Below are 14,845 nucleotides of genomic sequence, written 5' to 3' on the forward strand. Positions count from 1 at the left end.
CTTTAATAGTACCTGATTAAAAATTTTCCTCTCTTTCACTGTTCATCACTTGGGTAAGAGGAGTGGAGGTGTCTGTGTGAAAATGAGGCTAATATGTATTCCAGAAAACTCAAAGAGAATAGGAATAACTCAAAATATGTGATGATTCATTGTAGAAAGTCATTTTTTTAAAAACAGAAATGCTCCTATAAAGTCAGTAATATGGTCTAATCATACTTCCTGCCATGATCTGTGTTCACTATCTACTGGTAGGATGGAATATACTTACTCAATTTCCATGTCTTCACACTCATTCTTTGCCTTAATGATAAAGGAACTGACTTAAAAATAGAGCCTAAGAAACAGATAAAAACCTCTCTTTGGGAAGCTCAGAATCGTAGAAAAGGAAGAATCTAGAATAAGTAGAAAAGAGAGGCTGGGTGCAGTGGCTCACACCTGTAATCCCAGAACTCTGAAAGGCCAAGGTGGAAGGACCACTTGAGCCCAGGAGTTCAAGACCAGCCTGGCCAACATAGTGAGACCCTGTCTCTAATTAAGTAGGAAAGGGAAAAGAACAGGGAGCAGAGAGAGAACATGGGCTAAATGGAAAATGATGCTAATTTCAATTATTTTGATACCTAAGCTGGGAGGCAGTTTACAGAGTACAGTTCTTTTCACATGTCTGAGATGGGAATCTGTTACATGTGAAGCTTCCAGTCAGTGGCAGATGCTGTCAAGGAAAGACGCTGGACTGGACTTGCTTGCTGTGAGCCATGTTTTACCGGGAATGTGTGAATGAATTTCCCTGCTCTATCGGCTTCTTTGGGCTTCACGCAGTCCAGTCACCACTCTTCTTAGAAGAAGTGGTGGAACTGTGGGGCCCTCTTCCTATCTTCAGTCTCTTGCCAGGGCCTTGCACTGGAGGCATCCTGGAGGAACTGGAAGCTCAGGAAGCCAGAGGATGCCAGCTGAGGGACACAGAAGGCAGAGGATGGGGTGGGCAGGGGCTAAGTGCAGAGTCACCAGTTCATTTCCTAGATGGATGGGGGAACAGTGGCAAAGGCAGTGAGTCAATTGTGGTATCAATTTCCTTTTCTGTAAACTGTCAATACTAAAACTCCTCTCCCTATATAAAAAAAATACCAGTGTGAATCAACTGGAGTTATGCCTGAATGTTTGTAAAAACTTCCCACAATGCTACGTATCTGTCATTTTTTATTTTTCAGTTGTTTACCTATTTGCTATTTGGGAGAGAGTTTTGAGGAGAGCAAAAAGCATAATCTAAAGGAATGGATAAAATACTAACTTTAAGAGAGAGAATAATTGTGTTCAGCTTCTTCTTTGATGTGCCACGTGGACATTTTTTAAAACTGATAGCCTATATAATGATTAAGTGGTGATGCTGACTGTGAGAAAGACTACTAGATCACTATGTTCCCAACATTTTAAAAGCTCAAATACTTCACTGGTTTCTCAAGTTTCTCTCTTTCTCAAGAGAGAGAGAATACATTCCGCCTAGAAGGAGGGAACTGGACTTGAGAGGTACACAGGATGAATGAGTACGAAAGGCTCCCGAGGTAAGTGGCCGGCGCTTTATGGACTCTCACTGGCTCACAGGTGAGAAGCCCTGCAGAGCGGTACCTGTATGTGTCCTCCGGTGAGCCTTCAGGTGAGAACTTTTTGTGTACACTTTGTTGCATCCCTCAAAATCACATCTGTGGATACGCCGTTTTCTGGAGTCTGGGGATTCAGACCGTCTCTGGCGTCTTGTGCTCTCAATACTAAATGGTGAAATTGAACTGGAAAAAGAAAAAGTGGAGTTACACGGTGAGATGCACACCGCCCCATTTTGGTTCTGGTGGCATGGGAACATTGTCTCAGACACTACAGCTTCACAGACTCAAGGCCACCATGACCACAGTTCTTGCTACCACTATCTTGGGCAGATCTCACTTTTCGAAACCTGAAAGGCAGGCAGCATGAGTTATTTCCGGCAAAACACTCCAAGGGAGAGAAAGACATGCTTCAAACAACAATAACAAAAACTGAAAGTAAATGAAAGCAGTGGTAGGTGAGTATTTCCTCATTATCAGAAGAAACAATCTGGTAGGGGTAAATTACCATCTCACAGTTTTGAATTTCTGAATATCCTGATAGAGAATATTTTAAGAAGGCTTGCTATAGACAAATGACAAAATGATACATTTAATAAGTAACAAGAGGGTCTGCACTGCATGTGACAACATAGAAACTCCTGTAAAATCACAAGGTACATTTCTAAACAAGGGAGTCAGGCTGAAAGAAATGACATCAGTAACATGAATCATGACAAGCTATTTCTGTTTGGTGAAACGCACCTGACATTTAACTTTTCTAGTTGGAGTTTCTTTGTGGTGAGGAATAACGTGCATTGTCTTTAAAGATTAGCTGTACCACCATTATAAAAAAAAGTTTTAACTAAGAAATTTGGCCCTAACTTGCATATTGTTTAATCTGAATGCCCCAGTAGAAAAACAGGATTAGTTTATAATGTCAGGTAATTGACTAACATGTACTTAAAAAAATCTTAATCTCTTTTGATTGAGACAGAAATAATATGACTCATCTTTTTTAGTACCATGACATTCTTTAAAATTACAGTGAGATATGATAAAAAAGCAGTCACTCATATTTCTACTCTACAAAATGTACTACAGTTAATATTTTGACATATTTTCTTCCAGCTTGTTCACATTTTGATGCTTTTAAAAATTAGTTTTTATTGGTAAATCACCTCTTTTAAAAGTTGAACATTACTGATAAAGATCAATTCCCCCCTTGTTTTCCACCATTATCCTGGTCCTTTCTCCTCCTTCCAGGGAAGAGCCTCTATCCTGAGTTTTCTTTACCTCTTTCCAATTCTTTTAAATTATGTCTACCTATACAAATCTGCATTTACAGACATTCATTTTTTTTGTGTGTTTTTTAAGTCATATGAATAATATCATGCTGTTTATATCATTCTGCAAATTGTTTTATTCCTTTTTTTAATTCAACATTTAACATTTGAGATTCATCCATGTCGATATAAATGCCATAATTCATTTATTTGAAGTGCTATATACTTATAACTTACCAATTTTAAGATCTATTTTTAAAATATTTTAACCATCTCCAAAATCAGAATGCTTCTTAAAATTGATGGCTTATTACAGTTTTACTGGCATAACTTTTTTTATTAGTGGTACATAAAGTAACGGTGCATTTTACAATTGAAGACATTTTAACTTAGATCGGGGGTCAGTGAACTTTTGCTGTAAAGGGCTAGATAGTAAATATTTTATTTCAACACCGAGGGCCACACAGTCTTATGTTGTAGCTAATCAATTCTGCAACTGTATCATGAAAGCAGCTATAGATTATATATAAACAAATGAATGTCGTTATGTTCCAATGAAACTTTGTTTACAGAAACAGTGGGCTGGCCAGGCACAGTGGCTCAAGCCTGTAATCCCAGCACTTTGGGAAGCTGAGGCAGGAGAACTGCTTGAGCCCAAGAATCTGAGACCAACCTAGGCAAGAAGGAGAGACCCTATCTCTACAAAACAAATAAACAAACCAAAAAACAGTGGGCTGTATTCTGTCCTTGAGCTGTAGCTTGCCAACTATGGAATTAGATGAAACATGGCAGGAGTCCAGTGAATATTCATTGCCATTTCCCAAGTGACGGACATATAGACTACTTGTAATTTGCACTTTCATATTGCTCCAGTGAATTTTTTCTGAAAGTCTCTTTCTGCACACGTGTCTTCAGATTTCAGTGTACCTTCTCCCTTTTACTAATAAATTAGGCAAACAAAGCTTTCTGTTAGGTAAGGTCAAATATAAACAACATTTATCTACCTGTGTCTCAAACAGTTTTATGCAAGATCTACCACAGTAGAATGAAAGAACATATGTTATGTATGGCCAAGCCACTTTTTTCAGCTTTCTTATCAATGTGGATCTGTGGTTTTCCACATAATTGACTCACAGTTGCAGGGATCGGAGTCTATCGTGAAAGGAGTCAAAACAGTGTGACTGGCCTGCCTCATGTAAGAACAGCTGTAGTTACTCCTGACAAGGTATATTTTTATCACTGGGTTTGAGTCCCATGAACAAGTAAGACTGTGTGGTGATAACAGAGCAACAGTAATTCATTTCTGGAATATGTAGTTATGAAAATAAATATTGATCTTGGCACTTCCTTTTATTTCCTGAAAAAAAGGAAGTCATTCATAGTGTTGTACAATGTTTAACATCTTTTAAAAGTGAGAAAATGATAGAGTATTTGTTTTCTGCAAGTTATAACTTAAAGTCTATAAGAACACTTTGTTTTGTGTAATATTTTCCACACATGAATATAAAGAAGTCTAAATGTAACTATGCATAAACACACACATACAGGTTTTTGCTGAGTTCCATTGATTTTAGCTATTTATCTTGCTATCTGTATATAAGGAGAAACGTAAAAAAAAGAAAAGCCAACCAAAAAAACCCTGAAATCAGAATTCAGTCAATAATGAATGTTTCTTTAGGGACCAATGAAGTAATCGGGCAACACAGCCCATCAACCACTTAAATATAGGGCAGGCAGAGAAACAAAAACAAAGGCTACAGAAGGCCATGAAATTGCTTCACTGTGAGTTCTGAATTTACATCAAAATGAAGACAAGTGGATTGTCTATAGGACCTCAGCCCTGGTTTTCCTCATTCTACAGTGAAACGTGGGCCAGGTGTGGTGGCTCATGCCTGTAATCCCAGCACGTAGGGAAGCTGACACAGGTGGATCGCTTAGCTCAGAAGCTCAAGACCAGCCTGGGCCAACATGGTGAAACTCCGTCTCTACCAAAACACACAAAAATTAGCTGGACGTGGTGGCTCACACCAGTAATCCCAGCACTTTGTGAAGCTGATGTAGGTAGATCCCTTGAGCTCAGGAGTTCAAGACCAGCCAGGGCAACATGGTGAAACCCTGTCTCTACAAAAACATACAAAAATTAGCTGGGCGTGGTGGCATGTGCCTGTAGTCCCAGCTACTTGGGAGGCTGAGGTGAGAGGATTGCTTAGGCTGGGGAGGTGGAGGTTGCAGTGAGCCAAGATCATGCCACTGCACTCCAATCTGGGTGAAAGAGCGAGACCTGTCTCAAAAAAAGAGTTAACTGAAATGTTTTAGAACATTATAAAGAACAAATACCTAAAGGTATCTGTACAATAAAAATAATTTTTTAAAAGGATATACGCAATGAATAGTTGTACCCAGTAAAGCTGGCTTTCAAATGACATTCAATGGGTAGATTTTCTCCTTGGTTCCCCTTTCTAAATGGCAGAGATATCTTCAGATGTCAAAGAATCCTTGGCTAAGCCTATGCCTTTCAGAACTGCTGATTTGATCTTTTTGTGGAAAGGTAGGAAGGTAAGTGAAGCTGAGGTAACAGGGAACCAGAAGTGCAGAAGAACCTGAAGAACACAGGAAGGTGATAGGACAGTCCAAGCTCCAAGAGTGCTGCGTTGTGTTGGGATCCCCAGCATATATCCACAGTCGGCGGGCACTGCAAGTGGACGACAACCGTGGACTGGGGGTTTGTCTGAACCAAGTCCATGGCTGGAAAGGTGACAGTCGAGTTACTGGTACCAAGTAATTTTGTATTTCCAGAACCTAGGACATTGTGGGCATTCAAAAAAAAAAAAAAGTTTGCTAAATAGAATAAATGAATGCATTAAGCCTGGTATTCCTGATTTTTAATTTTATAAGTAATTTATTAATTCTTAATTGGTTAATTCTTACCAGGATACTTTGATTCCAAGTCTTCAGACAATGGGCACTCAATTCCACACTCCTACGCCCATTTCCCCGAGTTGCTTTTTTTTTTTGAGATAGGGTCTTGCTCTGTCATCTAGACTGGTGGCCTAGGTGGCACGATCATAGCTCACTGTAATCTTGAACTCCTGGACTCTAGTGATCCTCCCCCTCAGCCTCCTGAGTAGCTAGGATTACAGGTACATGCCACCATGCCTGGCTAACGTTTTAATTTTTTGTGGAGACGGGGTTTTGTTATGTTGCCCAGGCTTATCTTGAACTCCTGGCTTCACGTGATCCTGCCTCAGTCTCCCAAAGTGCTGGGATTACAGACATAAACCACCATGCCCGGCCAAGTTTCATATTTTCAATGCTACACAAAGTGGCTAGTGAATATCTGGGAATCTGGGTAACCATTAAAAACACATAGATATAAATGTCTCAATTATTTCCTCTAAGTTCAAGAGCAGTGTGTTCTAAAGTATTGCTTACAATTAAATTTCTCAGTGGGAGGCCACCGATAAATGTGTAGGATGCTGGTGAATGAAATAACAAAAGTCTTTCTTTTGACCCTAACAGGCATTTAGATAAGCTGGAAAAAGTGAGAGAAAGACCCTTACTCCTGGCAATATTATCTTGCCCCATCTCACTCGAGGGCTGTCCATAAGAAGGGGTGTTAGGTAACAGAACAGCTGGGTGTTTTCACTCTGCCTTACCTATGCTTTCTGAGCAACATGCCCTTTGTTCAGAAGGCACCTGAAGAATCCTCACAGGTATATGCAACCTGACTTCTGTGCTTCAAAAACTGGCCTTTTTATAAAGAATGGGAATGTGCAAGTAACTACTGCATACACCAGTAGAGCATTCTTTGCATAATCATTAGTAATAAGCTTGGTATGATGAAAATGGTAGAGGTAAAACACTTGTAACTGTGTTCCCAAATCCCGTACTAAATATATCTGTACAGCCCCAAAGAATAATAACTAAAGGCCCACTTCTTTCCCCAGAAGGTTAGACCATTTAGAGTAGTGAATGAACACCTGAGGGGGCCTCACAGGTACCACGTTGTAATAATTAGATCTAGAGAGAACAAATGAGTGAATCATGACTTTGGTTGCACAATAGTCCCACTTGGAATGGCAAGTTAAATTAGAATTAAACCCAGAGAGGCTCAAAAAGTCACATCCAAGAACAGCTCTATTTAAATGGAAGGCGCCACATGGCTGCCATGAAAGAAATTAGGGATAACTGTAATCAGCCGGTAATAAAAGACCACTCGTCATGTGTGACCTTAGCATGATGAGATGTCCTTCACTGAAACTGGAGTTTTTACAGGAGTTAAAAAAAAATTAAAAAGGCCAGGACAATCTTTCAAGCCTGGAAAGAAGACATACACATCCCAGATTTAAAAACCAGAGCAGAAAACACTGGAATTGAAGGAGCTTTAGTAAATTCACACACGCAATCACAACAGAATTCCAAGGGCCACAGCTGAGGATAACAATGATATTTACAGAATGCTTAGTGGGTGTCAGGCACCGACCTAAATGCCTTAAGCTTCAGAGCAACCCTCTGAGATTGACACTACTATCCCTGTACACTGTATCCCTCTTTTACAGATGAGGAAACTGAGGCACAGAGAGGTTAAGGCCAAGGCCAAGACAAAGTCTGCGGCTACACTAAAACTCAGACCTGAGTGGTTGATTCCAGAACTCAATTTTAATTACAATGTTATGCTTATTCAGATGAAGATACAGGTATTACAAACCAACATATGATAGAAGGGGAAAAAGCAACAAAATATCTATAGCATTTAAATTTCCCCTTTAACCCAATTATATAAAACAACAGCACACATAAGTGTTATTGAATATAGCCTGCAACGATAAGACATATACTTTTCTCTGGAGAATTTTAAAAAGGTAAACCGTTCTGTAAGTACTGTCAGATGGGCATTCAGTACACTTACTATTAATCTACCAAAGAAAGTATTTTCTTTTCTCTCCTTTCATCTTGTTTTTAAAAAGAGACAAGAACTCATTCTGTTGCCCAAGCTGCAGTGCAGTGGTAGAATCATAGCTCACCGGAGCCTCAAACTCCTGGACTCAAACAATCCTTCCGCCTCAGCCTCCTGGGAACTAGGACTACAGGTGCATGCCACCATGCCTAGTTAATTTTTTTTTTTTTTGGTAGAGAAAGGGTCTTGCTGTGTTGTCCTAGCCTGTCTTGAACTCCTGGCCTCAAGTGATCCTCCCACTTCGGCGTCCCAGTGTTGGGATTATAGGTATGAGACACTATGCCTACCCAGTACATATTTTCTTAAAGTTGTTATAAACTATGTATTTCCAAGGGAAATGTTTTTTAAAGGCTGAGTTTGGCAGTGGTATATGCTAATGTCTTCCTTGACCATTAATGCCACAAAATTAGTCCCTTCCCTGACATTCCACTTTATTTACAATTGTACCAAAAAGAATTGAGTTGGTTGCACGATAGAATTACCTTAAGGGAAGTGGGAGCATTCAGTTTACAAAGTATATTTTGTACTGTTTCTAAGGTTTCATATTATTTAAAATAAGACATTGAACATCACCTACAGAATTCTGAATTAACTTCTGCCACAGAATACCTGTAGGTAGAATGACTTCTTTGTTAGTGAATCAAACACCACCCTGGGAATGAATCATCAAGACCACAAGCAGAGCAAGAGTGGATGAGACTTTCAGTTAATCAGGATTTACATAAATCTCAGTAAGACAGATTCTATTCACATGAACAAGCCAGATATCTGCATTTCTTTGTAGGCTTTCCCTTAACCAGCAGATGGCTCTCAGAGGCAGGAATCTTCATATTTATCTTCCATACTACAACAGACTCTAGTGCCTGTCAAACCATGTCAATGTCTCTCCTATGATATTAATTAGGGAAAAAGCAGTGTTTAGATACATTTACTACCAAATCCCCAGCAGCTACATTCGGAGGTGGAGCAGATTCACAGGCATCAAGTTCCTCTCTCACTCCTGTCTGTAGCATTTCACAGAAAACTACTTTTGAACAGATTGAAATTGTAAGATTAGTAGTTGCCACCCTTTTCAGAAGCTGTGACTGAGACATTATATCATGTTCTAATTTGGATTCAATAAAAACGTTTTCACAAAATGTATAAATCAAGAGAAATACGTTTGCTAAAATGCGTCAAAAAGCTCAATCTTAACATCTATTCAAACTAGCGTTTGGCAAGTTTTCCATATGAACAGAATGCGTCTAAAATGCATATTTAATTATTGTTTTACTTTAATAAACAAAGTTTCCTACTAAACTAATTAAAAGATAATGGTTTACAAATGAGCCTTTTGGGCGCCCAAGGGGTGCCCTGGGGATGGATTCACAGTATTTCATGATTTTACTTAAATATAACAGCAGCCACTAAGTATTTTTCCACATCACTTTCTAGACCGTTAAAAAACTTAAAAGTATGACAAGCTTTCTGTTCTTTTTGTTTCAACATATTTCAGCAAGCAAGATCATAAGCTGTATTAGGCAAAATGTTTAAAGAGAATCAAAATAGAAAAAAACGAATCATTAACAGTCTGTTCTGGTTGGCTATATTATCAAACTTTTATGATGAAATTAGACTACAAGTTGAAAGAGGATTGTTGGCTAACAAAAAAATGCCTATTTCAGATATAGAGTATCTATTCAAAATAGCTACTCTGTGGGGAATGTCCTATGCATTGCGAAGACTTTATCCCATGAGATCAATTAATAATGTAGGATGAAACGAGGGTTCTGAAACAGGTATGGATTTCTGGATTATACTAGACATACCCACTGAATGGAAGACACATAACATACTTAAATATTTAGAGGGATTTTCCCACAGAATTTCTTCAGAAAATACCGGGGTTTAAATTATGTTTTATGCCAGAAGTGATAGCTTGGTGGATTACATAAACCTTAAAAAAAAAAACTTTCTAGGTCAGAATAGGATTAATTATTTTAATCGGAATGCCTTAAGGGTAAGCCCTGCCCTCCTCATTCTGGCATGGGCCCAACCCATGCCCTATTGCTTTATGAGAACAGCACTTTATCTTATCCATGTGGCTCTTGAACACATCTGATTTGGGGACTCTCTAGAATCATGCTAAATTTTAAAAATAAGTTATCCTTATTTGACTACAGTTAAACTTTAAGCTACTCAAGAGTGAAGAGTCTTATACATGTCTATTTATGTGACCGACAAACATGAAAAAAAGCTCATCATCACTGGTCATTAGAGAAATGCAAATCAAAACCACAATTAGATACCATCTCATGCCAGTTGGAATGGCGATCATTAAAAAGTCAGGAAACAGATGCTGGAGAGGATGCGGAGAAATAGGAACACTACACTGTTGGTGGGAGTGCAAATTAGTTCAACCATCGGGGAAGACAGTGTGGTGATTACTCAAGGATCTAGAACCAGAACTACCATTTGACCCAGCAATACCATTTCTGGGTATATACCCAAAGGATTATAAATCATTCTACTATAAAGACACATGCACACGTTATGTTTACTGCAGCTCTATTTACAATAGCAGAGACTTGGAACCAACCCAAATGCCCACCAATGATAGACTGGAAAAAGAAAATGTGGCACATATACACCATGGAATACTATGCAGCCATAAAAAAATGAGTTAATGTCCTTTGCAGGGACATGGGTGAAGCTATAAACCATCATTCTCAGCAAACTAACACAGGAACAGAAAACTGAACACTGCATGTTCTCAGTCATAAGTGGGAGTTGAACAATGAGAACACATAGACACAGGGAGGGGAACATCACACCTGGGGCCTGATGTAGTACTTAAGTTAACATGAATTATTGAAAGTTTTTATTGCTTGGGTAGGATTATATAAATCAGACCAAGTAGAACTCATTGGTAGTTTTCCACTTGAGTCTGTGTTACCAGAATGACTGTCTGAGGCCACATGTAGGGATTTTTCTCATCATAAGATGTCCAGGTATTTGAATTCTGGAGGAAAAGAAAAATCTTCCCACCTGAGACAGATAATATTTTACCCGCTTTTGATTTTGTTCCTGAAAATTTTCCTTACTCTTTGAATACTCTGTGAAATTAACACTGGAAAAGTAGAGAGGTATACCAATATGACTCAAATTCATATCTTAAAGACATTTAGAAGATGAGAAAACTAAGGCTCAGAAAGATTAGACTAATTACTGCTCGAAGCTCACACAGCTAAACAGGGGCAGTTAGAGCTAAACAGTGGGTTTCTTGACCCCTAGAGCTAAGACTTTTCCGCTTTCCAATGATGTTGTAGAAAGATCTGTGTGGTACTTTTACTTAGTAGGAAGGAAAATCTGCTTGGCAACACTGATATTCTTTCTTTTTACATCAGATAGTTAGAACTACACACTTACGCTATTTCCTTTTTTTTGCTTTGGCTGCTAGAAAACTCGGATACAATAGCCTAGGATTGGTTGTGGCTTATTTGCCACTCTAATTATAAGATTTGAAACACAAAACTACAAGGTTTTAATTTTATATAGTATTTTATTTTTTATTTTTTTGAGACGGAGTCTTGCTCTGTTGCCAAGCTGGAGTGCAGTGGTGCAATCTCAGCTCACTGCAACCTCCACCTCCTGGGTTCAAGCTATTCTCCTGACTCAGTCTCCTGAGTAGCTGGAACTACAGGCGCCCGCCACCACACCCAGCTAATTTTTGTATGTTTAGTAGAGACGGGGGTTTCACCATGTTCGCCAGCATGGTCTTGATCTCTTGACCTCGTGATCTGCCTGCCTTGGCCTCCCAAAGTGCTGGGATTACAGGCGTGAGCCATCACGCCGGGCCAGTAATTTTTTAAATGTAGGTATTATGAAATATTTTCTGAACTAAGGAAACTTATAATGATAAACAAGAAAACAAAAACAAAAAAATAGAATATGCTTCTCTTTAAAATGGAGAAAACTATGTGATAGTCAAACCTGGGTTTTAATTTGGAGACTTCTAAAGTTCTGTGATCAATAAGCTCATAATATCTTTAAGGAAAAAAAAAAAGACAAAATAAGGATTTTGATTTTTGTGGTGGAAGCTCCTTGTACTAATAGCCTCATTCTCTTGGTCAAATATCACTATTCCATTTATAGGACTTAACATGCTAATTAAAATAACATAGGACTTGTAGTCTGAAAATACAAACATGAATTACAGCTATTATAACTTGTTAGCTATGGTATCTTGGGCATTTAAACTCTTGGAGTTTTAGATTCCCATATTTCAAAATGTATTTATTTATTTATTTATTTATTTATTTATTTATTTATTTATTTATTTTTTGAGATGGAGTTTCACTCTTGTTACCCAGGCTGGAGTGCAATGGTGCTATCTCGGCTCACTGCAACCTCCACCTCCTAGGTCCAAGCGATTCTCCTGCCTCAGCCTCCCAAGTAGCTGGGGTTACAGGCATGTGCCACCATGCCCAGCTAATTTTGTATTGTTTTTAGTAAAGACGGGGTTTCTCCATGACCTCCCAACCTCAGGTGATCCGCCCGCCTCGGCCTCCCAAAGTGCTGGGATTATAGGCGTGAGTAACCGTGCCCAGCTTCAAGTGGGTTTTTAATAGTAATTACTGAATGGAGTTTTCATGAAAATTAGTTTAGAGTAAGGTAAAGCTGACCCAATGTCCAATACATCCCCAGCACTTCTTAATATTATGTTCCTTCTTTCTTTTGTGGCTAATAACTTTACTCACACATCATGAAGTCATCCTTATAAAGTGTACAATTCAATGGCATTCAGTACACTCATATTGTTATACAATCATTACTTCTATCTGACTCCAAAACATTTTCATCACCCCAAAAGAAAACCCCATACTCATTAGCATCCATTCTGCCTTCCTCCTAGTCCTTGGCAAGGACTAATCTACTTTCTAAGAATTTGTCTATTCTGGACATTTAATAGAAATGGCATCATATAATGCATGGCCTTTTGTGTCTGCCTTCTTTCACTGAGCATAAAGTCATCAGGGCTCATCCACATTGTAGCATGCATCAATACTTCACTCATTTTATAGTCAAATAATATTCCATTTATGGATAGATCACATTTACTTTATGGACATCACATTTAGTTTATTTAGTTGATGGACATTTGGGTTGATTCCACTTTTTGGCTATTATGAATAACACTGCTATAAACATTGTGAACAGTTTTTGTGTAGACATATGTTTTCAGATCTCTTGGTTACATACCTAAGAGTAGAATTATTAGGTCATACGATAATTCTATGCTTAGCATTTTAAGGAATTGCCAGACTGTTTCCTAAAGTGGTTGTACCATTTTATAATTTAACCAGTATTGTGAGAAAGATCCAATTTTTCCACATCCTCACCAACGCATAATGTCAGTCTTTTTAATTTCAGCAATCCTAGAGGTTGTAAAGTTGTACCTCACTGTAGTTTTGATGAGCATTTCCCTAATGACTAATGATGTTGAGAATTTTTTCCTGTGCTCATGGGCCATTTGTATACCTTCTCTGGAGAAATGTTTGACCATTTGTAAACTGTTTTGTTTTTTTATTGCTGAGTTGTAAGATTTCTTTATATATTCTGGATGCAAGTCCCTTATCAGATATATAATTCTCAAATATTTTGAAGTTCGATTTAGTTCACTTTATTATTTTTTGTGATAAATATTTGGTGCTGTAAGATGGCTTGGACTAACATAAAGTCTCAAAGATTTACTCCTATGTTTTAAGACTTTTATAGCTTTGACTCTTACATTTAGATACATGATCAATTGTTGAGTTCATTTTTGCGTATGGTATAAGAAAGGAAGGAGTCCAATTTCATTCTTTTGCATGGGGATATTCAGTTATCCCAGCAACATTTGTTGAAAAGATTATTCTTTCCTCAGTGAATTGTCTTGACACCACTGACAAAACCAATTTACCATAAATGTAAGGGTTGATTCCTGGATTCTTACTTCTATTCCATGGATTTGTCTATGTATAATTATCTCAGTACCACAATGTCTTAATTTTATAGCTTTAGGATCAGTTTTTAAATTGGAAAACATTATTCCTCCCAATTTATTCTCCCCCCTCAGATTGTTCTCACATAAAATTAAGAATCATCTCATCAATTTCTTTCTTTTTTTTTTTTTGAGATGGAGTCTCACTCTGTGGCCCAGGCTGCAGTGCAGTGGCGTGATCTTGGCTCACTGCAACCTCCGTCTCCCGGGTTCAAGTGATTCTCCTGCCTCGGTCTCCTGAGTACCTGGGATTACAGACGTGCAACACCATGCCTGGCTAATTTTTGTATTTTAGTAGAGACAAGGTTTCACCATGTTGGCCAGGCTGGTTTCGTACTCCTGACCTCAGGTGATCCACCCGCCTCGGCCTCCCAAAGTGCTGGGATTACAGGCGTGTGCCGCCGTGGCCAGCCATCATCGATTTCTGTAAAAGAAAATGCAGCTGAAATTTGGATGAAAACCAAATTGTAGACTGCTGCCATCTTACCAACATTATGTCTTTCAAACCATGAATATAGGACATCTTTCCGTTTAATTAAAAAAATTTTTTTAACCATGTTTTGTAGTTTTCAACGTTCAAGCCTTACATATCTTTTGTTAAATATGTTCATAGGTATTTTCTTCTTTTTCATGCTATTGTAAATGAAATCGTTTTCTTAAATTAATTTTTAGATTGTCCACTGTTAGTATACAGAAATGCAATGAATGTTTGTTTATTCATCTTGTGTCCTGTAACCTTGTTAAACTCATTTATTAGCTCTAATACTTTTTGGGAGGCGCCCTTTAGATTTCCTATATACAAGATCATGTCAACTGCAAATAGAGATAGCTTTACTTCTTCCTTTCTAATCTACATTTCTTTTTCTTAATTGCCTCGGCTAGAATGTTGAGTGAAAGTCCTGTATGGACATCTTGTCTTGCTACTGATCTTAGGGTTAGGTGCTCAGTCTTCTACCATTAAGTATGTTAGACATGAGTTTTTCATAGATGCATTTTATCTGAGGATACT

At 38.2% G+C, this 14,845-nt stretch overlaps 1 protein-coding gene across 20 annotated transcripts in view, besides 1 other annotated feature; it reads right to left on the reverse strand.

Moving 5' to 3' along the window:
- Nucleotides 1-14,845, reverse strand: part of KLF12 (KLF transcription factor 12) — a 619,957-nt gene that overhangs the window by 27,659 nt on the left and 577,453 nt on the right. For 18 of the 20 annotated variants that reach the window (NM_001400139.1, XM_011534909.3, NM_001400147.1 and 15 more), the window contains one exon: nucleotides 1,621-1,778. The exons of the other annotated variants lie outside the window; for them this stretch is intronic. In NM_001400139.1, coding sequence (NP_001387068.1) covers nucleotides 1,621-1,778 — 158 coding nt within the window. The remainder of the gene's footprint in view (nucleotides 1-1,620; nucleotides 1,779-14,845) is intronic. 20 annotated transcript variants of the gene reach the window in all.
- Nucleotides 1,182-2,381: an enhancer, noted in NCBI's record as "BRD4-independent group 4 enhancer chr13:74289066-74290265 (GRCh37/hg19 assembly coordinates)". NCBI's record gives its function as "activates an origin of replication core promoter dependent on BRD2, P300/CBP, MED14 and CDK7 cofactors, and independent of BRD4, by STARR-seq in HCT116 cells {active_cell/tissue: HCT116}" and the evidence as "EXISTENCE:reporter gene assay evidence [ECO:0000049][PMID:35650434]".

Source organism: Homo sapiens, chromosome 13, assembly GCF_000001405.40.
Source record: "Homo sapiens chromosome 13, GRCh38.p14 Primary Assembly".
NCBI lineage: Eukaryota > Metazoa > Chordata > Mammalia > Primates > Hominidae > Homo > Homo sapiens.